The 23,524-nt window shown below is 51.1% G+C and overlaps 6 annotated features.

Annotated features, from left to right (window-relative positions):
• Window positions 149–374: a silencer, noted in NCBI's record as "fragment chr14:77490390-77490615 (GRCh37/hg19 assembly coordinates)". NCBI's record gives its function as "represses an EF-1alpha promoter that drives an FKBP-Casp9 reporter gene in an ReSE screen in both phorbol 12-myristate 13-acetate-treated (for megakaryocytic differentiation) and untreated K562 erythroleukemia cells {active_cell/tissue: K562 | K562(+PMA)}" and the evidence as "EXISTENCE:reporter gene assay evidence [ECO:0000049][PMID:32094911]".
• Window positions 581–875: an enhancer, noted in NCBI's record as "tiled region #8154; HepG2 Activating DNase unmatched - State 1:Tss". NCBI's record gives its function as "activates a minimal TATA promoter and a strong SV40 promoter by Sharpr-MPRA in HepG2 cells {active_cell/tissue: HepG2}" and the evidence as "EXISTENCE:reporter gene assay evidence [ECO:0000049][PMID:27701403]".
• Window positions 9,379–10,175: an enhancer, noted in NCBI's record as "H3K27ac-H3K4me1 hESC enhancer chr14:77480589-77481385 (GRCh37/hg19 assembly coordinates)". NCBI's record gives its function as "activates a minimal SCP1, AML or CMV promoter by ChIP-STARR-seq in naive H9 embryonic stem cells {active_cell/tissue: H9 hESC(naive)}" and the evidence as "EXISTENCE:reporter gene assay evidence [ECO:0000049][PMID:30033119]".
• Window positions 10,176–10,972: an enhancer, noted in NCBI's record as "H3K27ac-H3K4me1 hESC enhancer chr14:77479792-77480588 (GRCh37/hg19 assembly coordinates)". NCBI's record gives its function as "activates a minimal SCP1, AML or CMV promoter by ChIP-STARR-seq in naive H9 embryonic stem cells {active_cell/tissue: H9 hESC(naive)}" and the evidence as "EXISTENCE:reporter gene assay evidence [ECO:0000049][PMID:30033119]".
• Window positions 16,496–17,025: an enhancer, noted in NCBI's record as "H3K4me1 hESC enhancer chr14:77473739-77474268 (GRCh37/hg19 assembly coordinates)". NCBI's record gives its function as "activates a minimal SCP1, AML or CMV promoter by ChIP-STARR-seq in primed H9 embryonic stem cells {active_cell/tissue: H9 hESC(primed)}" and the evidence as "EXISTENCE:reporter gene assay evidence [ECO:0000049][PMID:30033119]".
• Window positions 22,583–23,287: an enhancer, noted in NCBI's record as "H3K4me1 hESC enhancer chr14:77467477-77468181 (GRCh37/hg19 assembly coordinates)". NCBI's record gives its function as "activates a minimal SCP1, AML or CMV promoter by ChIP-STARR-seq in primed H9 embryonic stem cells {active_cell/tissue: H9 hESC(primed)}" and the evidence as "EXISTENCE:reporter gene assay evidence [ECO:0000049][PMID:30033119]".

Below are 23,524 nucleotides of genomic sequence, written 5' to 3'. Positions count from 1 at the left end.
GGCCTGTGGGAAAGGCCCTGTGCTGCCTTGCTGCCCCTCCCCCTCGGTACCAGGCTATTTAAATTCACCTCTTGGGGAGGCGACAGTTGCTGACTAAGCGATTTCGGTTTACTCTTCAGCATCTCTATTTTCCCCCGGATGCGGGCCCAGCTGCAAATGGCATTGTCAAGAATGCTTTCTGGTGCCTCGCCCTGTGGCGGTGAACATAGGCTGACACCCAGTGCAGCTGGTGACTTGACAAGTGGGCGAAAAAGTCTAGGAGAAAAGCTAGGATGCTTTGCTTCTTAGATATGACAGACATCAGTCTGCATATTTAAAACAAAACTGCCACAGAGCTGGGAGCAAATGCATACACTCAGCCTTGGAGAGTCCGCAGTAGCTTCAGGCTGGTTCCTTGGAAAACCAGTTTTCACCTCATTCATTACAAGTTTTCTTTCTTGTATTTTAAATAATTATTTTTAAAGGCAGAAATAATTCTAAAGACTTAGTTGATTAGAGAGGGTTTCTGAGGATGAGGAAGAGGGGGGGAAACCCCAAACTTAGTTCCTGAAGCAAAGGTTTACTTCCAACATCAAATAAAAATCCATTCCTGCTGGTGAAGCAATGCAATTATTCATCTAATCAGCTTTTGGCGGCGTTTGTGAGGTGCAGAGAGGCGGGGAAGCGGAGAGAAGACTACTGCCCTTTAGAGCAGAGCCCCTGCTCGTGGGCTGAGAGCAGCCTGGAGTCCTCCCAGTGGTAGGGGAAGGCAAACAAACCTGATCTGAACCTTGTACTTTCCTGGGAGGCAAATAGAAGAGCAGAAAACAGGAGGGAGGAAGCAAAACAAAACCCGGCAATCCAGTCAAATTGATTCCTGGCCACATCTCATTCCTGGGCGGGGCGAGCTGGGCCCTGTTGGTCCCCTCCAAGGCTGAAGGACTATTAAGAAACTTGGATCCCCCACTCCACTCCCATCAAAGGAGTGGGAAGACTGGGAGGTGGGGATGGGTACAGGCACGTTTGGGGAGAAACAAATCACTGGTTCGCCCAGAACTCTGGTGTGGAGGCCGGGCTGGTGTCGGAACTTGTTAATAACACCCTTTTAGTTTCTTTTCCTGCTTTGCCACTGCCATCACTGAAGTGGTGGAAACCAGGACTCTGTGTGCACGCGCACTCGCGTGTGTGTGTGTGGGTGTGGATAAGTGGCAATATTGATGGATCTGCTGCAGCCTCTTAATCCTGGTACATGGGAGGTGCCTGCCTCACCTCTAAGAATCTCCCCACATATAAATAGATATTCATGTCAGCTTCCTGCAAATGTGTCCTTGCATTTTCATCTGCTGCCAAGTGTTGTATTGGTGCTTATGAGTCATGAAACCTATTTTCATCCGCAGGGGTAATTAACTTGGGGGTGATAATGCATAGCAGACTGTAGGAAGAGTTAATTCCAAAACCCATCCTCGCCTGGCTACCAATCACACATTGCACTTAAAGGTCTGGGTTGGCTTTTTGTGTAAGTTCATTAATAAAAACCAAGCATGTTTTGCCTGGAAGATCCTCTAAGATGCTCCCAACTCCCGCTCCCAAGGCACATACTCTTAAAATTGGTAAAGCTCAACAGCCTGAGAATACAGTGTCACGGGTATAATTTAACTATCATTGAAGGAAGGAGCGGTGGGTGCAGCCACCCCTCCTCCGGCATTGCACAGTGCATGTGAATTTAGACATGTGGATCACCTGTCTGGGCGTGGACCTTATGAGTTGTGTCTGGTGGCTCCAGCTGGGAGTTGTCCCTGTTACCGGTTTCTGTGCACAGCTGCTCCTGCCGGCCTGCAACTGTCTCTTCATCACTATGGTATTATGCTCAGGAACTTTTAGGATTGTAAGACCCTTGATTACTAGTGCACATAGGTAGGAAAGGAGGGCCTGTCTTTAAGCACTGAGAACAGCATCGTTTCTTTCCTTCTTGTTGCTGGGTGCTATTATGAACAGTAGAAGCAGCAGCTGTAATAATGAGGCATCCAGCCATGGAGGCCAGTTTGGTTTCACTAAGGAAACCTGACTAGAGACGTTGGGGAGAGGAGGGAGGGAGTGGGAGGGAGAGAGCAGGTTGGGGTGGAACCCAGGCTAGAAGTGAATTATGATAGTGCAGTTAATTAAAGTTTATCATAGCCGGGGACCACTTGTTAAATGGAGGCTTTTTTTTTTTTTTAAACCATGTGAACTTTTCCTTTCCTGGGACCCATTCAGCTGCTAGTTTGGTTGCCTTAACCAGCCTTTCTCTGATCCCTCAGCTGGATTCTCCTTTCCCTGAAGCTTTCCACATTGGACGCCTAGGAAGCACTTTTCCTCTCTGGCGTGTAAGGATTCTTGTGGGTTTCTGAGATTCAGCCCAGGCCTCTGGATGAGCCGAGGCTCCATTCATCTCCATTTTACCTCCATTTCTTCTGACCCTCGTTTCCTATCCTTCTCACTCCCTTTCCCCTCAGAGCCAAAGTGGCCAACATTTAAAAATTCATATTTATCTTTGTGCATCATTTGTGCAGCAAATCCAAACGACATGTTTAAGTGGGCAGAGTGGTGGGGCAATGAGGACTCAATTCAACAGCTTTGAGAGAATAGGCCAATGGGAGTAATTTCTTGACCTTGATCTCTGAAGGCAGCACCATAGTCCACCATCGAAGGCGGCTCACCGTATCAAGTCCTCAATGTAAGATTCAAGGTGCGTTTTCACTTGCATCCAGCCCAGACTGGCTGATGTAATAAATACTGAAACTCACTTTTGTTTTCTGTAATACTTCATCAAGTCAGGAAGTTGGAATTGGGGCTGGGCGCTTTGGGAGGCTGAGGCAGGCGGGTCACCTGAGGTCAAGAGTTCGAGACTAGCCTGGCCAATATGGTGAAACCCCGTCTCTACTAAAAATACAAAATACAAAAATTAGCTGGGCGTGGTGACGTGTGCCTGCAGTCCCAGCTACTCGGGAGGCTGAGGCATGAGAATTGCTTGAACCTGGGAGACAGAGGTTGCAATGAGCCAAGACAGCACCACTGCACTGGGAATGACTCTTAAGGTCATCTAGTGAAATGTTCTCTAAACCTTTCTGGGGTCAGAGACACCTTGGAAAAATCTAGCAAAAATTATGGCTCCTCCCCAAGATATACCAGTGCCCACATACACAAGGATTTGCATACATTTTTTTCTTTTTTAATATACATTTTATATATTTGTTTTTGAGAAGGTAATACATTCCTTTGGTTCAAAACTCAAAGAATGAGGCCTGGAGTGGTGGCTTATGCCTTTAATCTCAGCACTTTGGGAGGCTGAGGCAGGAGGATTGCTTTAGGCCAGGAGTTCGAGACTGGTCTGGGCAACATAGTGAGACCCTTCCTCTACAAAAAAAATTTTAAGATTAGCCGGGCAGGCTGGGCGTGGTGGCCCACACCTATAATCCCAGCACTTTGGGAGGCCCAGGCAGGCAGATCATTTGAGGTCAGGAGTTCAAGACCAGTCTGGCCAACAAGGTGAAACTTGTCTCTACTAAAAATAGAAAAAAATCAGCCAGGTGTGGTGGCACACGTCTGTAATCCCAGCTATTCAGGAGGTTGAGGAGGGAGAATCGCTTGAACCTGGGAGGTGGAGGTTGCAGTGAGCCGAGATCACACCATTGCACTCCAGCCTGGGTGACAGAGCTAGACTCCTTCTCAAAACAAACAAACAACAACCAAAAATTAGCTGGGCAAGGTGGTGCATGCCTCTGGTCCCAGATACTTGAGAGGCTGAGGCGGGAGGATCACTTGAGTCTGGGAGGTCGAGGTTGCAGTGAGCAATGATTGTGCCATTGCCCTCCAGCTTAGGCAACAGAGCAAGACCCTGCGTCAAACAAACAAAAAAACAAAGGATGCAAAGGGGAATATAGTACAATGGCCCCTCTGCTACTCAGTTCCCTTCTGGGATGCAACCAATACTACTCAATTTCTCAAGGCATTTATGCACATCTAAAGCCCATTCATGAATTGAGGTTAGAACTTACGTCTGGTCTGGCCGGGCGCCGTGGCTCACGCCTGTAATCCCAGCACTATGGGAAACTCAGGTGGGCGGATCACCTGAGGTTGGGAGTTCGAGACCAGCCTGACCAACATGGAGAAACCCCGTCTCTACTAAAAATACAAAATTAGCCAGGCATGGTGGCGCGTCCCTGTAATCCCAGCTACTGAGGAGGCTAAGGCAGGAGAATTGCTTGAACCTGGGAGGCAGAGGTTGCAGTGAGCTGAGATCGCACCATTGCACTCCAGCCTGGGCAACAAGAGCAAAACTCTGTCTCAAAAAAAAAAAAAAAAAAAAAAAAAAGAACTTATGTTTGGTCCATCCACTTTGTAATGATGAAGACCCCAAGCCACAGAGAGGTGAAATAACTTGCCTATGGTCACACAGTGGCAGAGTCTGGGCTAGATTCTTATTAGGGAACAGCTATAATAGCCTTTTTTTTTTTTTTGAGACGGAGTCTCACTCTGTCGCCCAGGCTGAAGTGCAGTGGTGCAATCTCGGCTCACTGCAACCTCCGCCTCCCGTGTTGAAGCAATTCTCCTGCCTCAGCCTCCCGAGTAGCTGGGACTACAGGCACCCGCCACCACACCTGTCTAATTTTTTGTATTTTTAGTAAAGATGGGTTTCACCTTGTTGGCCAGGATGGTCTCGATCTCCTGACCTTGTGATCTACCTGCCTCAGCCTCCCAAAGTGCTGGGATTACAGGTGTGAGCCACCATGGCTGGCGACTTCTTCTTTTTTTTTTTTTTTTTTTTGAGACGGAGTCTTGCTCCGTTGCCCAGGCTGAAGTGCAGTGGCACCATCTCGGCCCACTGCAAGCTCCGCCTCCCGGGTTCACGCCATTCTCCTGCCTCAACCTCCCGAGTAGCTGGGACTACAGGTGTGCGCCACCAAGCCTGGCTAATTTTTTGTATTTTTAGTAGAGACGGGGTTTCACTGTGTTAGCTAGGATGGTCTCGATCTCCTGACCTCGTGATCCGCCTGCCTCGGCCTCCCAAAGTGCTGGGATTACAGGCATGAGCCACCGCGCCTGGCTTTTTTTTTTTTTTTTTTTTTTTTTTAAGTATACTTGAGGCCGGGCGCAGTGGCTCACGCCTGTAATCCCAGCACTTTGGGAGGCCAAGGTGGGCGGATCACTCAAGGTCAGGAGTTCGAGACCAGCCTGGCCAACATGCTGAAACCCCATCTCTACTAAAAATACAAAATTAGGAGTGGTGGTGCACACCTGTAATCCCAGCTACTCGGGAGGTGAGGCAGGAGAATCTCTTGAAACCAGGAGGTGGAGGTTGCAGTGAGTTGAGATTGCACCACTGCACTCCAGCCTGGGCAAGAGTAAAACTCTATCTCAAAAAAAAAAAAAGAATACTTGAGAGCTGGGCATGATGGTGTAATCCCAGCTACTTAGGAGACATGAGCATTGCTTAAGCCCAGGAGATTGAGACTAGCCTGGGCAGTCTTGGGGAAAAAAAAAGATGAAAGAAAAATTTAAGGACAGTTTCTATGAGGAGTGATGATAAGGGGGGCAAAAGGATAGCGATACCTGGTCCAGTGGGGTTCACCGTTTTTACTAATTCTTGGAGGACTAGCAAAAAACATTTATCCCTTGTAGCCTTTGGGGGAAGGGAATGTTCAGAGATATTTCTAGGTTTCTGACTGTAAATGTCAGGTGGGCCTGAACTGGTAGAGTCTTTTTTTTTTTTTTTTTTTGAGACAGAGTCTCACTCTGTCGCCCAGGCTGGAGTGCAGTGGTGCGATCTCAGCCCACTGCAACCTCTGCCTCCTGGGTTCAAGCGATTCTCCTGCCTCAGCCTCCTGAGTAGCTGGGACTACAGGCGCCCATCACCACACCTGGCTAATTTTTGTCTTTTTAGTAGAGACGGGGTTTCACCATATTGGCCAGGCTGGCCTTGAACTCCTAACCTTGTGATCTGCCCACCTCTGCCTCCCAAAGTGCTGGGATTACAGGCGTAAGCCACTGTGCCTGGCTGGTAGAGTCTTTTTTTAACCTTTGATCTGTGGCCCTTCACACCACCTCCCCTCTTTGCTGATGGGAAACTTTTGAAGGTTTTTTGTTTTTTTGTTTGTTTGTTCTTTGTTTTTTGGAACAGGGTCCCGCTCTCTTCCCCAGGCTGGAGTGCAGTGGCATGTCCACGGCTCACTGCAGCCTCCACCTCCTGGGCTCAAGCCATCCTCCCGTCTCAGCCCCCTGAGTAGCTGGGACTACAGGTGCATGTCACCACCATGCCTGGCTAAACATTTTTTTTAAAGAGATGGGGTCTTGGTACATTACCCAGGCTTTTGAAGGTTTAGAGTCAGATAAGCAACTGACTCCAAACCAACAGGGAGCAACTATCTTGGCATGGAAGGAGGGGGTAAGGGAGGGACACCAAGGACTCCCCCGTTTTCCCTTCAGCTTGGGGCTTCTCAGTTCTCTCCCTGCCACCCACCTCTGCCTGGCCATCTCTCCTCCACAGCTAAAGGGGGAACTGAAGGAGTCTAGGGACAGGCCAGATGCTGTGCAATGTGCCTGGCAGCTGCACATTGTACCATTCCAGCTTTAGGCCTGTCTAGGAGGAAGGCGTGATGAGCCCCACTTTATAGATGTGCCAACTGAGCTCAGAGAGGTTAAGTAGCCAAGGCCCTTTAGACCCAGTGCAATCCAAGCCCCAGGCAGCCTAGAGCCTGGGTCTGCCCAGACTCCAGTGTTCCTTTGTGCAGAGGGCCACAAACTTCTGACCTGCAGAGCCCAGGAAACCAAGACTCACAGCACCAGCCCCATCCCTTGGCCCTTTCCACATCTCCTTGAGTCTGAGTGTGAGCCTCACCGACACCAGTGAGCAAGGCTATCTACAGGCAGGGCTGTCAGGAAGCCCCTTGGGGAGAACACTTTCTAGGTTCTATGTTCATCTTTAATTATTTTTATTTTATTATTATTATTATATATATATTTTTAGAGATAGAGTCTCTGTTGCCCAGGCTGGAGTGCAGTGGCGTGATCTCAGCTCACTGCAACCTCTGCCTCCAGGATTCAAGCGACTCTCCTGCCTCAGCCTCCCGAGTAGCTGGGATTACAGACGCCTGCAACCACGCCCAGCTAATTTTTGTACTTTTAGTAGAGATGGGATTTCTCCATGTTGGCCAGGCTGGTCTCTAACTCCTGACCTCAAGTGATCTGCCCACCTCAGCCTCCCAAAGTGCTGGGATCACAGGCGTGAGCTACCGCACCCGTCCTAGGTTCTATGTTCTGAGGGAACACAGTGGAGCTGTCCAAGCAGTATTTCCAATCAGGGATTCTGGAGCAGGGCTGTTCTTCTGAAGTCGTCCTCAGTTGCCTCCTACCCTCAAACTTAATTTAAAAATGAGCTTACCTCTGTCTCATTTTTGATGGAACAGAGAGATGACAGGAAACAGGCAGTGGCCCTGATTTGTAAGGTATATTGCTTCTGTGGGGAGTATCTACCCCACTAGCTGGTGTCTTCCCTCCCAGTCTTGCTTTTTTTTGAGACAGAGTTTCACTCTTGTTGCCCAGGCTGGAGTGCAATGGTGCAATCTCGGCTCACTGCAACCTCCGCCTGCTGGGTTCAAGCAAGTCTCCTGCCTCAGCCTTCCAACTAGCTGGGATTACAGGCACACACCATCATGCCTGGCTAATTTTTGTATTTTTAGTAGAGACGGGGTTTCTCCGTGTTGGTCAGGCTGGTCTTGAACTCCTGACCTCAGGTGATACGCCTGCCTCGGCCTCCCAAAGTGCTGGGATTACAGGCGTGAGCCACCGTGCCTGGCCTCAGTTTTGTTTTCTTCAGGCTGAAATGCTGGTCAGTTACCTCTTGGGCGTAGCTTGATTGTCCTGCCTCTTTGGGGGTCACAGGTGTGCATCCACCAGGTCTGGGGTGCTGGATCCAGGAAAGCTTACCTCTCTACATGGGAACTATAATTGTGGCTCCCAGGTTTAGGTTAGACTCGAGAGAAGTGTCCCAACTCCTGACTGGTCTCCCGTAAGCTCTGGTGTCTGCCCACTTCAGGCCATGGCTTTGTAGCAGAATCCATTTTTTTTCTACATCTGAGCAAGTCACACCCTTGCTTAGAAACCTCCCTTGGCTCCCTGTTGCCTACAGGGTAAGTCCAAATTTCTTAGAACAACAATCAAAGCCATCATCCACCATTTCGCCATCCCAGGAGTTTGTTTATTTATGTATTTATTTCAAAACAGAGTCTTGTTCTGTTGCCCAGGCTGGGCAGTGGCACAATCCTGGCTCACTGCAACCTCCGCCTCCCAGGTTCAAGTGATTCTCCTGCCTCAGCCTCCCGATTAGCTGGGACTACAGGTGTGCACCACCACGCCCGGCTAATTTTTTGTATTTTTAGTAGAGACAGGGTTTCACTATGTTGGCTAGGCTGGTCTCGGACTCTTGACCTCAAGTGATCTGCCAGTCTCAGCCTCCCAAAGTGCTGGGATTATATAGGCGCAAGCTATCGTGCCTGGCCCCAGGAGTATTTTAATTTTAAAAAAGGTATTAGATACACATGGTAAAAGAAAAAAAAATCAAAGAGCCTGAGAAGATACTCAGAGAAAAGTAAGTCGGTCTCCTTCTCATTCCAAATCTCCAGTTCCCCTGCACTGTGGGCAGTTATTTCGTGTACATGTTCAGCAGTATTAAAAGCACAGAGAAGCTTAGATCTATAATATATGTCTCCTGAGGGCAGATCTTAGGACAAGCCAGGAAAAGCGGAAAGGTCCAGGACAAGGAACTGGGCTTGGGTCAGACAGAGCCCCAATCTGGGTCTGGGGGCTGATGGAAAGTCAGCAAGATGCCCCCTGCCCCCACAGCCAAGGATTGGTTCTGGTGCATCCTAGGCTTCTGGGCAAGGAGTGTGAGTGAGTGAGTGTGTGTGTGTGTGTGTTTGTGTGTATCTTTGGCCCACAGGCCCACATCCAGGGCATTCACATCCCTGTGTTTAGCTGGGTGCCCTGAGCAGCCCCTGGATGACTGGACATTCTCTGGAAGGACTTGGGGGAAGAAGTGGGGCAGTGTCTATGGAGGCCAGCTATCCCAACAGCGTCCAGAGCCTTCCTTACCAATAGCCTCATTCCCCTCCCTCTCCCACCAGCCACAGCAGCTCGTGGAGGCTGTCAGAATTGTACTCCTAGGTCACAGACAGGGATGCTGTGGTTGAAAGAAAAGACTGAAGGAGAGACATTATTATTATTATTATTTGAGGCAGAGTCTCACTCTATTACCTAGCCCGGAGTGCAGTCACGCACTCTTGGCTCACTGCAGCCTCCATCTCCTGGGTTCAAGTGATTCTCCTGCCTCAGCCTCCTGAGTAGCTGGGATTACAGGCAAGTGCCACGATGCCTGGCTAATTTTTGTATTTTCGGTAGAGACAGGGTTTCAACATGTTGGCCAAGCTGGTCTCTCACTCCTGGCCTCACGTAATCAGCCGGTCTCGGCCTCCCAATATGCTGGGATTACAGGCGTGAGCCACCATGCTCCATGGGAGAGAAATTATTGACTGTAGACTTTGGAACTGACAGTGGGCCAGGCACTGTCATATATGACTTCTCCTTCATTATGGTAAATCTTTGAGGCTGGTCGTGGCCATGATTCTCCTTTGAAAGGAAAATCCCCACAGTAGGTCCTATTATTGGTCCCATTTCATAGACAGGCAATCGAGACAGGGGTAAATAACTCACCCCTGCCTGGCTTCACTCCTCTTTGTCACCTGAAGGACAGTTCACACCCTCCCCTCACTCTGCCCCCACACCTCGCTTTTCACCAGCACAGACCCTGCCAGCTGGGGGTGGTGTTTTTGAGGGGAGGAGTGAGCACTTGGAACCCCAGAGCTGCAGTTCCAGGAGGTCTGGGTGCATCTGAGAACAGGTTTGCGTGGCTGGGGGCGCCGGGGGCAATACTGATGGCCAGCACCCTGGGAGAGGCGGCTGTGGAATGTAGGGCCATGTGAACGTGAAGGAATTAACTCTGTGCCCCTGGGTCTCAGCCCAGACGGTCATGTGACCACCTCCCACAATCTCCCCCCTCCCCTGTGTCTGCCTGGAGCTGGAGGTTCACAATGCCCTGTTCTGCTTGGACTGGAGCTGGTGGCAACTGATCCCTGACTTGGGGAGTTGCCAACATGCCTATTCTTCTGGGGCCTCTGGAAGTAGGATAGTTTCAACGGTGGGAGTTTCAAAGGTGACCTTGGTAGGTGACCTTGGGAGCTTCCCAAGGTAGAACAGAAAGGGGGAGAGCTGGAGAGTCCAAAGGAGGAGCTGCTGCGGAGCCTACCACCTTGCCTGGGGCTAAACCAACAGGCCAAGCCACTTGCCAAAAGGTGGCTTTTCGGGCTCCAAGTCAGTCCTGCCCCAGAAGGGCCTCCAGCTCACCTCAGTGAGTGTGGTGACCCCAGTGGGGCTGGGACAGAGGCAGGGCTGGCCCTCAGGCAGGGAGCCAGCACCTGCAGCTCCTCTTTAGGCCCAAGGACCCCTTGCCTTGTACCCCCCTACCTGGTCCCAGCCTTGCCCCTACACATGGATAAGAAGTAGGTGGTCAGGAGGTGTCCGCCAGCCATAGCTGGTGCCTCCAGCACCCTGGGTGCAGGCAGTGCCTCTAACAGCTTCCACCTCCTTTTTCTTTTTCTTTCTTTCTCTTTTTCTTTTTCTTTTTTTTTTTTTTTCTGAGACGGAGTTTCGCTCTTATCGCCCAGGCTGGAGTGCATTGGTGCGATCTTGGCTTATTGCAACCTCTGCCTCCCAGGTTCAAGTGATTCTCCTGCCTCAGCCTCCCGAGTAACTGGGATTATGGATGCGCGCCACCACGCCTGGCTAATTTTTGTATTTTTAGTAGAGACAGGGTTTCTTCATGTTGGCTAGGCTGGTCTCTGTCTCTAACTCCTGGCATCAAGTGATCTGCCCGCCTTGGCCTCCCAAAGTGCTGGGATTACAGGTGTGAGCCACCGCGCCCGGCCTACCACAGGGCTCTTTCTTTGCCCACTGTGGCTGAGTGCCTGGCGCAGGGTTCCTGTTCCTGGGGATGGCAGAGGTGAGGGAAGTCTGGAGCAGGCTGTGGAGAGTACTCAGCCCAGGATGTGCTTCTGCCCAACACGTGGCTTCCTTCTCCTTTTGCCCACCTATCACGCCCCTCCTCCTTCAAGACTCATCCAAGCTCCACGCCTCCGTGAAAACGTGCTTTCACTCAACATACATCTATCGATTGATGTGTGGGTTCAAATCTTGGCTCTGCTATTAACTTTGGGCAAGTTACTTGATCTCTCTGGGCTTGAGTCCTCCCTGGGAAGGAGGAATATCCCTCACAAGGTGGCAGGAAGAATCCAAAGAGACAGTGGTGCATGTTCTGTGTCAGCACCAGCCAGCTTGTTGGCTTCCAGTGACTGTTAGCTGTCTTGTTGCCCTTATTCTTGCCTGGCTCAGGGGTCTCCTGCCACCAGGACTCTCAGCACTGGGGGACGGGGCAAAGGAAAGTCAACAGCAGCACTGGCGATGGTGCTGTGACCATGGTGCTCAGGAGCACGGGTCAAGGCCACGGGGAAAGACCTCTTTCTGGAGATAGGGCCCATAAAGGACGAGGAGCGAGGATGATAGAAAGGAGCTCCTGCTGGAAGTGAAACTGGGGAGGCAGGAGAGCAAGTTCCCTCCGGAAAGGCAAAGACTTAGTTGGGTTTGGCTGGAGAGTGGGGAGGAGGCGAGGCAGGACCAGCCAGCAAGATCTTCTGTGAGAAAAAAACGTGGGTCTTGGAATTAATCACAAAGGGCCCTTGAAGGATTCTGTGAGCTGCGAGGGACATGGCCTGATTTGCCATTTGGAAAGATCTTTCTGGCAGCAGTATGAGGACTGGATTGGAGGGGAGGGAAAACCAAGATTGAGAAACCAGCTAGGAGGCGATTGCAGTTATCCAGGCGAGAGGTGGTGAAGCCGAAGGAGGAGGGGGCTGTGGCGCTGGGAGAGGCTGAGCGTGAGCACTGTGGGGAGGAGAGGTCCACGGGCCCTGGTGCCCAGACTCAGGAGGATGAGGCAGAGGGAGAAAGGGGGCAGGGTCATCCCTCAGCTTGGGTGCCCAGGGAATGCCGCAGGCCAAGGAGGGTTAGGGGAAGAGGCCCAGCTCCCCTCTGGACACCGGGGTTGGGGCAGGGAATGAGATGATGGATAAGCAGGTAGACACGCAGGTCTGGCCTCTGCACACAGGTCTAGGCAAGAAGTGAGAGGTGTTGTCCTCTTTGTGGGTGGTAGGTAGAGGTGTGAGTTTGGAAGAGGGCCCTGAAAGGAAAGTGGGCAGAATGAGGAGATGAGATGGAATGGTGGGAGCTAGTGCTCCAACATCCCAGGCCTAGGGGAGGAACAGCCCGGGAGGAGAATGAGTAGCAGGAGGGGTGGAAGGATGATCCCAAGAAGTGGTGTCTGGTCTGCCGAAGGAGACCTGCGGACCGGGCTCAGGGTGAGAGTCAGGTGCTGGGCTGAGATGGAGGAAGGTAAGGCCAGAAAGGTGTCTGTTGGACTTGGCAATATGGAGTTCCTGGAGATCTTAGCCAGGGAAGCATGGCTATGCTTCCCATGTTTCAGGCAAGAATGAAGGAAGCAGAGGCTGAGACACACTGTGTCGAGGGGTCGGTGGGCCAAGTGTGGGGACAGCAGAAGGCCCAGCTTGTCCTAGTCTCTTGGCTCTGACGGGAAGGAGAGAATGGCAGCCAGGGGACAGGTGGGGAGAGTGTCCTTGATGCCAGCTGAGAGAGACACAAGCATGTGTGCAGGGAAAGGGCTCATCCAGGAGAGGCTGAAGACCCTGGAAGGGGGATGGGAATGAATGAAGTGGCAGCTTTCAAGAGGGAGGTGGCGGTATAGGTACTGGAAACTCATAATATTAACAATAGCTCTCATACACATAGCGCTTACAATGTGCCAGGCACCCGTCTGCTTTATGTATACTGCCCCACCCAATCTGCACAACAGCTCTACAAAGTAGCTGCTTGTATAGGAAGTGCACCTGATAGCAATCACTTCAGCACACACTGAGAATGACCCTGTATGGCAGATGCACCTGCACGTGTGTTCCAAGCTAGGGGGTCTGGGAGTGGCCAACCTGGAGATTGGTTCCTTGCCTATGAGGAACAGCTGAACCCCCAGTCTGCCCTATGGAACTTGGGCCATACAGAGATGGGGGCCCCAAGTTTTGCGCTGAAAGAAGGTTGCCAGGTGGAGGTTGTTAGGGAAAGGGTGCTAAGTGACAATGCTCTATAAACTGCATGCCTTTTGCAAGCAGTTGCGTTTCTTCTGCCCAACCCGCTGCCGCTGAACTCTCTTCCCTGAATGTAAGTCCCCAGTAAAGCCCCAGTGCTCTATCATTTGCTGGCACTGGGTCTCTGCTACGGCCTCTTGAACCTGGTGCCATCCCCACTGGAATTGACAGGGGATTGGCACAACAGTGCTATTATAGTCCACATTTTACAGATGGAGAAATCCATGCACAGAGGTTAAGAAACTCGCCTAAGTTTACACAGCTGATATGTGGTGTTGCTGGTGTGTCAGGATTTGAACCCAGGCAGGGGGCCTCCAGAAGTGTGTAGTGGTCAAGAGCATAGATTCTGGGGCCAGACTGTCTCTCAGTTTCCCCACAAAGAAAATGGGCATGAGAATTGTACTTACTTCATAGTGCTAGTGGTTGGATTATATGCATAAGTGCCCATAAAACTCTAGAGTGGGGCTTGGTACATAGAGAGCTTGGAGGGGGATGCACCTGGGACAGAACTGGGGCCCCACTTACACTGGGAGCAGAGGGAGGAAGCCAGAATGGAGAGATGGAGAGACTTGCAGGGACCCCTCAGGACTTTTCTGTAATATTTATTTATGGGTGCTCTCCTGACCAGACAGGACTCCTTGCAGGAAAGTTTAGGAGCAATTTGCGGTAGAGCTGAAGAAGCCTTTGGGACCAGACCCTGGTCTCTTTGCTCTACTCAGTAGCTATGGAACCTTCTGCACATTACTCTGAGAGCCTCAGCCTCCTCTTAGGCCCAAGGCGGCAGTGATGCCCACCTTGCTGGGCTGTGGCGAGGATTAAATGAGACCATGTCTGTGAGCAGGTGTGCCCAGCTCAGCTCCTTGCCTGACACCAGGTGCCACTCATTAGGCAGCTACTTCCACCACTTCTACAAATGCTGATGGAGCTCCCAGCAGGGGCCGGTGCTGTTCTAGAGTGAAATTAGTAGTATTAGTCCTGAAGCCTTCGCACAGTGCCTAGATGCTCAGTAAATGTTGGTCAGATGAGGAAAGAGGTTGTCTCCAGCAAGGATCAAGGAATGGGTCAAGGAAGAGGTGCTAGGATTAATTAGTCAGAAAAGGGGAGGAGAGTAGAGAGGCTCACTGCCTCACTCCATCCAAGTCAGTTCTTTAGGGATGATAGATTGTCGGGGGCTATGGGGTAGCCCCTGGTTACATGCAGATGTGACCTGGAAGATGAGAGGTGAGGTCAAGAGTGCCTGAGGATGGTGGTGGGGCCTCCAGGTCAGTGGAGGACTTGCTTCCCAAGGCCCATGGCAATCGTACTTGCCTTATGTCTGGGATATGTAATTTCCCAGGTAAGGGAGGAGTTTATTTGGGGGACAGTGTGGGTTCTGTGCAGGACTGCCTTCATGGGTGTGGACCTGTGCACTCACAAGCGGTCCGACATTCAAAAGAGATGGTTGAATGTTCTGCTATCACTGTCTTGCAATTCTTGATCATTTGGAACAAGGGGCTTTGCGTTTTCATTTTGCATTGTGCCCAGAAAATTATGGAGCTGGTTCTGGGACCTGGAGTGCTTGTGTGTCTCCTCGCTCATAATGTTGGAGGCTCCTCGCCGTGGTAGAAGTTGAGAGGTGCCTGGCTAGGCAAAGAGGGTTGAAGCAGGAGAGCTTGTGGCTTTGCCCCTCTGGAGGCCTGAGCAGGGGTGAGACCAGTGGGTGTGAAGTAAAGCATGCTGGGCAGTGTCAGACAACTGGGTTTGTATCCTAACCCTGCCTCCTGCCAGTGATGTGCTCTTCAGTGAGCTCAGTGTCTCGGAGCCTGTTTCCTCATCTGAACATGGGGTAGCTCAACCATACCACAGGTAACTTGAGGGTTACAATGAGGTACAAAAAGTGCCTGGAGCAAGTAGGTGCTTAGCAAACATTTGTTGTTGAGTCTCTGGCTGCGGCAGGAACGGAGTTGGGTTGTGAGTAATGTGCTCCATTGCAGCAGGCTATGGGGGAAGAGGCATTGAGCCCTGCCCTGCCTCCAGGGGCTCAGAGCTGAGTGGCATCCTTGGAACCATCTTCCAGGAAATGGGCTGTCAGCTCCCCCTCCAAAGTGACAACTGTCTTTGGCCACCTCTGGCCAAGAGGCTTACCATTTCCAGAGTGACCAAATCCCAGCTCTGGCCCAGGGGTGGCAATTCCAGGCTGCCAGGCCTTGTTCCCAGGCCCTGAGTGCCCCTGCTCCTTGTTCCCCCTGCAAGAACTCACACCTTGATTTCCCGAGATCCTCTTCACACCAACGCAGGCATCACACTGCACACCTCTGGCTGGGCTAGACCAGCTCTCCTTTAAAAATAATACGGCAGTGTCCCCTTTCTGCAGAAAGCCTTCCCCTCTAGGGTATAGAGCTATAGGTTGAGGCCACATACTCCCTCCTCCTCAACGCCTCAGGGTCCCCACCCCCTTTCTGATCCTTGATTTTCCCTGAGCTGGATTAAGACCTTTAGCAGCCTTAAGAGCTGAAGGATTAAGGTGTACCTCCCCCACTCACTCACACACAAATTCCAAATAAAATAATCCTAAGCCTTAAAATAAGTGTCAGGAAGTCCAACAAAGTTTTGATTTTCCCCAGGATGACTACTTCCTTGCTATTTTTGAAGTATGAAATATTAGCTCTTAAAAAAGCAAAACCAAACCAAAACACTTTGTTGATGGCCTTTTGCTGCCAGTGGCCTGAGAACACACTTAATCTGCCTACCGGGGAACCTGGCCTTGCCTGCCCCCTCCCTGGTGCCCGAGAAGGAGAGGGCTGGCTTGCAATAGCAGGGCATTGGGCCACTCTGCCCAGAGATGTCCCCAGGGAGAGAGGGAAGCCCTGGGCCAATCAGTCCCCATAGGGGAGGAGACATCAGCAAAGCCCAGAAGGTTCTGCTGCTTCCACCCCTGCCATAGGGCAACCTCTCCTCCCCTCCAGAGCAGCCAGGGTCAATCTGGGCCCCCTTCCAGTTCTGCAGCTGGCAAGGATGGCTGGGCTGTTAGTCCCTGGGCCTGCTGCCCTTCACCCACACCTGTTGGGCAGGTCTCCCTGCCTGGCCAAGGGCTGCCCGAGCCACTCTCCCTCCCACTGTGGGGGAGGGAGCCAGCCAGTGCTGGAACATCTTCCACAAACTGGCTTTTCCAGATCCTGCTTGTAAACTCTGGTTAAAAATAAAACCCTCATGTCTGGGAAGGAGAGGGTAGGAGGGTACAGTGGTGGGGGACAGAGGAGGCAGGCAGAGGGCTATGCATAGGTGACAACAGCCCACCTTAGCAAAATGGTGGGGTATCCCAGCGAACAAGGCTGGCCGGGGAGTACCCTGCATAATTCCGGGTGGGAGGCACCTTCCAGAGCCTTTTGTTTCGCAAAGAGAAAACAGGCCCAGAAAGGGGCAAGCGGTGTCACAAGGTCTCCAGCAAACAAGCACAGGTGGAATGGAGCCTTTGGCCTTGTTCTTGCTGCCACCTTTTCCTCAAGAGCAAGGCATGAGGACAACCCTCTCTTCTTCCCTGCCAAGGATCCCCTACTCGCCAGGAGCGTTTCCCGATCATGTCAGGGCACCTTCGCCATCCCCTGCCCGCCCAGCCCTGCCCATGATCATGTCAGGACGCACCTTCGTCATCCTCTGCTTGCCCGACCCCGCCCACTCTCTTTTTCTGTTTTTCTCCCTCCCAGCGTCCATCAAGCTGTTCTCCCTTTCGCCTCTCCAAGGGAACGGATGTTTATTGAGCATCCAGCTCTGTGCATACTATGCCATTTATTCTTCTTGCCAATAAAGCAAAGCTTTCCTACAATGTTTTCTGAAGGAAATGTCACATTGCAGGGGAGAGAAGGAAAGGCTTTGTGTGTCTGAGTACTTTACAGATGCAGGGTACTCCCCCTACGTGATTTCCAAGCCTCAAAACAGCCCTGCAAAGTATTCTGAGGCCTTCCATAGAGAACAGACCTTGAGGCTGAGAGCCTTAATGAACTGGCTTAAGGCTCAGTCCAGCTGACCCAGGGCTGACCCGTTAGTCTTCCACCCAATCCCTTGCTCCTGCAGCCCCACAAGCTCAAGGACTGAGCTGTCAGTATATGGCACAGCTGCAGCAACTGAGGCAGGGGATCACGAGCCCAGGAAGTAGAGGCTGCAGTAAGCCGTGATCGCACCATTGCACTCAGCCTGGCCAGCAGAGCGAGACCATGTCTCAATCTCATTCCATCCTTCCAGCACCCATCAGTGGATACTAGTGTTCCCCTATTTTACAGAGAAAGGAACTGAGGCACAGGGTAGTTAAGGAACTATGTCTCCCAACCAGGAGGAAGTAGAGCTCGCCTTTGAACCCAGGGTTTTCTGCTGCAGGCCCATGTTCTTAATTACAGTCAGGCCAGGCGCAGTGGCTCAAGCCTGTAATCCCAGCACTTTGGGAGGCCAAGGCGGGTTCATCACAAGGTCAGGAGTTCGAGACCAGCCCTGGCCGACATAGTGAAACCCCATCTCTACTAAAAATACAAAAAAAAAAAAAAATTTAGCCGGGTGTGGTGGCAGGTGCCTGTAATCCCAGCTACTCAGAAGGCTGAAGCAGGAGAATCACTTGAACCTGGAAGAGAGATGTTGTGGTGAGCCAAGATTGTACCCGGGCTGGGCGACAGTGCGAGACTCCATCTCAAAAAAAAAAAAAAAATTATGGCCGAATCTGGACACTCACACGATCCCATCTTCAAGGGATTTAATCCAACCTTCCATCTTTTCTGTCCAGCCTTCTCTGCAGTCTTGGGCGGTGGGCTTCAGGCCAGTTGGCCTGGTGTCTCTCTGGGGAGGGCAAAGGCTGTGGGTTCACATTCTGAAGCTGAGGTCGGGGGTTGGGCTCAAATAGTGTTAACTGACAGCAAAGCTGGTGGAAGGCTTAGGGAGGGAGAAGGTGTGGACGTGGGCTGAGAGTGGTGTGTGAGATTGCTGTTTTTTCTTCTTCTGCCCTTTTTGGAGTTTTAGCTTTGTCCCCGTTGCCCTGGTGGTTTAAGGTTGAATGTTTCTTTCCTAAGCAAGTGCTCCCCCAGAAAAGGCTGTAAAATTCAGAGATGAGGTGTTTGGATTGGATTCGGGCATTGGGATTGGACACAAGGAGGTTCAAATTTTTTCTGTAGGCCAAGTGCAGTGACTCATGCTTGTAATCCGAGCACTTTGGGAAGCCGAGGTGAGAGGATCACTTGTGTCCAGGAGTTCGAGACCAGGGTGGGCAACATAGTGAAACCCCATCTCTACAAAAAATAAAAAATTGGCCGGGTACAGTGCCACACACCTGTAGTCCCAGCAACTCTAGAGACTGAGGCAGGAGGATCACTTGAGCCCAGGGAGTCGAGGCTGCAGTGAGCTGTGATTATGCCACTGCACTCAGCCTGGGCAACACAGTGAGACCCTGTCTCAAAAAACAACAAACAAACAAAAACACACACACACATTTCTTCTGTATAGTGACCCTGGGCAAGTCACTCTGAGCCTTGAATTTCTCTTCTGTCAAGTAGGAAGACCAGTGCCTCCTTGAAAGCATTATAAGGGGGATCAAATGAGACAATAGATGATTCTGAATGGTAAAGTATCTGCAATGTCAATTATGATGCTAATGCCATTGCCTTCCTAAAGGAAAAAATCAATGTGCAGGTTATTGAGGGTCCTAGGGTGAGTGATGGCTGAAGACAAGGAGGCTGCTGGTAAAGGAAATGTTGTCCTGGAGCCCTGATACTCCTGAGCTACGGAGGGAGGATACAGGTGGGTCCGTGAAGTGCTTTACCCAGTGAATTGCTTTACCGGTGCCCTGTTCCTGTGCCTGGGGAGTAGGGCGGTCCCAAAACACCGACCTTGCCTGGGCTGCTGGGGGAGCAGCAGGTGCTCACATTGCCCTAGGGTGGAATGCACCTATTCGCCCTTCCAGAGCACAGGGCCCTAGGGCCTGTGGCCAGAAGACATTCTCTTCTCAGCTGATTCTACTCCAGGGTCTCCGAGAGAGTGGGGGATCTCTGGTCTGTCCGGAAAGCTGACAGGTTGAACCTATCAGGGGGTCTTGTCTCCCATCAACTTGGGTGGCTGTGGGGACATAGGATGTTGGGGGCAGATATGAGGGAACTTCTTGTAAATGGAGCTGGGTGTCCGTGGCTACAGGAGGAGGGGCTGCTACAGGCTGACACAGTCTCCTTGGGTTATGTAACCATTTCCCTTAACCTCCAGCAGTAAATGCATAAATGATGACTTAGTATAGATACCAATTTGGTCATCAAAACCTGGAACTGTCCCTGCCAAACAGGAACTTCCTGCCCCCTCAACTGAGCAGACACCTGGACTATGGGGGAGCAATGCAGAGAAGTAATCAAGTTCTCAGTCAGAAAACCTGGATGCTCCTTGCTTTGTTGTGTCATTTGGTCAATAATAATTGATTCAGCATTGGGAATGTAGTCATAAGTTAAAGTCCTTGTGGCTATGCTCACAACCAGATAGGGGGAGAGTACCAGAAACATACAACTGGCTAATGGAGAGGCAATTGCTTCAGCTTGGACATTTTGGCTTGTGTTTTGTTGAGTAAACACGAATTCACTGAGCAGGGGTGGGAAAATCTCAAGCCTCACTTATCCACAGGTTTAAGATAAGAAACTGCCCCAGCACCGAGTTCATGAGTGCTGGGAGGTGCTCTAAGTTTACAGGACAGCATGACTCAGGAATGAGGCCATTCTGGATTTGATGGTAAATCTCCCTGATACTGTAATTTTGGCCTCTGCCCCACTGGCCAGGCCTCCAGCTCTTCCCTGGGCTCAGGTGGAAGGAAACTTGGCCCAAATCACATTTCTCTCTGATTGAGCCATCCAGCACCTTGCTGGCTAGGCGTGCAGAGGTCAAAGAAGGACAGGGAGTCAATACACAGACTGGAGCCCCTTCCCCCAACCCCCAACTCAGCAGGCAGAGAGGCCCTTGGAGCACAGGGTCTGCATTCCCATTCTCCTGCATTGGCCAACCTCTCTGCAGTTTCCAGCCCTCTGGGCCTGCCCTGACCACGCCTACCAGGCACCTTCCACTGTCTTACCCCACTCTTCCCTGGTCCTGAAACACCCTAGCAGAGGCCTTGACGTGTCACTTTCTGGACCTCTGACTTGGCTCAATGGTTCAGGACCCATGACTTTTTCATGGTCACCTCCAGTCATTCCCTAGATCTTGACCTTGCACGAACAACCTGATTGATTCTGCAGCCATCTTAGGGACTCGCAGATAAGAACTCTTGGACAGCAAAGGCCCACAGCCCCAGGACAATTGTGTGCCCACAGGCAGTCACACAGTTGTTGAACATGGGAGAGCCTGTGTTCACCATTTCCAGGATAAAATGGACCATGGAGTGGGCACACCTGGGCTGTTTACCATCATTGCCCTTCATTCCCTAAACAACAGGGAATGCAGAGCCACGTATGGATTTAGTCTTAGCTGAATTCATATGCATCTCTTTTTGGAAGAGGTAAAAGCATGTCTGATTATCACATGATATCCCCTTTTTTTTTTTTTTTGAGACAGAGTTTCACTCTGTCACCCAGGCTGGAGTGCAGTGGTGCCATCTTGGCTCACTGCAACCTCTACCTCCCAGGTTCAAGCAATTCTCCTGCCTCAGCCTCCTGAGTAGCTGGGATTACAGGCATGTGCCGCCATGCCCAGCTAATTTTTGTATTTTTAGTAGAGATGGGATTTCACCATGTTGGCCAGGCTGGTCTCAAACTCCTGACCTCAGGTGATCCACCTACCTTGGCCTCCCAAAGTGCTGGGATTATAGGTGTGAGCCACCAGGTCCAGCCCAAATGATATCTCTTTTCAAGTTAGTTTCCCCGTGTGGCAAATGAGAGTGGGGCTTAATCACCTGTTTCACCAAAGGGCCATGTAGGAGATGATGGAATTGGGAGGACTGCCTGGTCCACAGAAGGTTTGCGTCCTGATACCAGCCCCTGCTCTTCCAGCCCCCACCATCCTCTGCTGCAGAGAAATGGGCTCAGTGCCCACCATAGCAGGCCTGTCCAGAGGGGTGAAGTCCAGCGGACAATACCATCACGATCACTCTGCCCTGCACTCATCTCTGACCCGCCTGCCTCCCCTGCTCTCTACAGCTAGGGAGTGGCTCTTTGGAATAAAGAATATTTACTTTTCTTTGAGACTTCAGTTCTGAATATGATCCGAATGCTGTTTGCATGTTTCTGGCTCCCCTTCTAGAATGTCTTGTGTGACACCGAGTGCCAGTGCAGGAATAGTGCCTGGAACAGAGGAGAATGTTTGTTAACTGACTGACTGCCTTGCAGATTAAATGAATGATCGAGGACTGCAGCTGAGGTGGGGCATAGGCAGGGGCAGGTGCTCATCCTAGGAGGGAGGAGGGAGGCAAGAGAGATCTCTCATTTCAATTTCTGGGGATGATTAGACGGCTGTGTTTTGGTCTTCTACAGAAAAATAATCGCAAACATCTACATTGTGTCAGCCACTGTCCTAAGTATTTTACATACATTAATGTATTGAATCATCATAAAAACCATGTGTATGGCGGGTGCTATCATCATCATCATCCCCATTTTATAGGCTGAGATTCTGAAGCACAGAGAGGTTAAGTGATCTAGCCAAGGTCACACAGCTAATAACTGCCAGAGTCAGGATGTAAACCCAAATCCCTGCTCTTATCTTTCCCCCATAGAGTTATATGCCATATTCTTACCCCATAGACTGCTCCCATAGCTCTTTAACCTATGGGGTGTTTGTGCCCTCGGGGTCCCTGGGATGAGCCAGAGGGTTTTTGAGACTCAACTTTCAGGAAGATCAATTTTAAGCAAAGATTTCAGAAAAAAAGTTAACTGTTGAATTATAAGTAATTTGAGATGATTGACATATATGTTATAGTGAATAATGCCAAAAGTCAAGTTAATTTTTAAGACAAAAAAGATGGCCAGATGCAGTGGCTCCTACCTCCCGGCACTTTGGGAGGCTGAGGCAGGAGGATCGCTGGAAGCCACAATTTTGAGACCAGCCTGGGCAACATAGCGAGAGACTGTCTCTACAAAAAAAGAAAAAAAAATTAGACAGACAAGGTGGCGTGCACCTCTAGTCCTAGCTACTGGGAAGGCTAAAGTGGGAGGATCTCTTGAGCCTGGGAGTTCCAGGCTTGCAGTGAACTACAGTTACACCACTGCACTCCAGCTGGGGTGGTAGAGCAAGAACCCCGTCTATTTTTTTGAGACAGAGTTTCACTCTTGTTGCCCAGGCTGGAGTGCAATGGTGCAATCTTGGCTCACTGCAACGTCCGCCTCCTGGGTTCAAGTGATTCTCCTGGCTCAGCCTCCCGAGTAGCTGGGATTACAGGCATGCACCACCACACCTGTTTAATTTTGTATTTTCTTTTTTAGTAGAGATGGGGTTTCTCCATGTTGGTCAGGCTGGTCTTGAACTCCTGACCTCAGGTGACCCTCGGCTGCCTCGGTCTCCCAAAGTGCTGGGATTACAGGCGTGAGCCATCGCGCCCGGCCAAGACCCTGTCTCAAGAAAAAAAAAAAAAAAAGGAGAGCGATTTCCAAGAAATTTGCAGGGTTTCTGTCCCCAGGCCCAACCCCACCGTCAGCCCAGGGTAAGCTGCCATTGTTCGTGAATACCACTCATTCAGCACAAGAAGTGCGCGCACACACATACACACACACACAAATACACACTGCCTACCCCCCTGACTGTCTGGATGGAGTGAGTTGTGGGCCACGTCAAGGCAGGGCTGCAGTGGGAAGTGCTGCTTTCTGATGATTGCGGGCCTGGGGGTGGAGGGCTGGGCAGGGAGAGAGGCTGGGCCTTGGGTCTCCATGGGAGCTTGCATGGGGCTCAGAGTTTCCATTGGCGCCTGTGGGATGGGGTAACAGAGGGACTGGCCCGTAGAAAACTGCGAGACAACGAAACAGGAGGGAGGAGGAACTTCACCTCTGCACCATGAAATACCGCACCCGGGGCCTTTCGTGGAATTTGCAGAGCGCATCCTTAGATGCTCCTCACTGCAGGGGGAGAGGCATGTCCCATGGCCAATGTTTCCTGTGTGTCTGTGTATGTCAAGCCCAGGGATACGTGTCGTCCGGGCCACGTGCCACAAAATGGGTCCCACTTGGGGAGGCAATGCCCGTGGGACTCTTACAGGCAGAGCAAGATGAATGTGAGCTGACACTTCTGCCAGTGAGCGACAAAGAGCCGGTGTGCCTCCACAGAGGACAGGCCTGCTC

This window comes from Homo sapiens, chromosome 14 (genome assembly GCF_000001405.40).
Source record: "Homo sapiens chromosome 14, GRCh38.p14 Primary Assembly".
Classification (NCBI taxonomy): domain Eukaryota; kingdom Metazoa; phylum Chordata; class Mammalia; order Primates; family Hominidae; genus Homo; species Homo sapiens.
The sequence above is the reverse complement of the archived record's forward strand: the minus strand, read 5'-3'. Positions and strand labels throughout refer to the sequence as shown.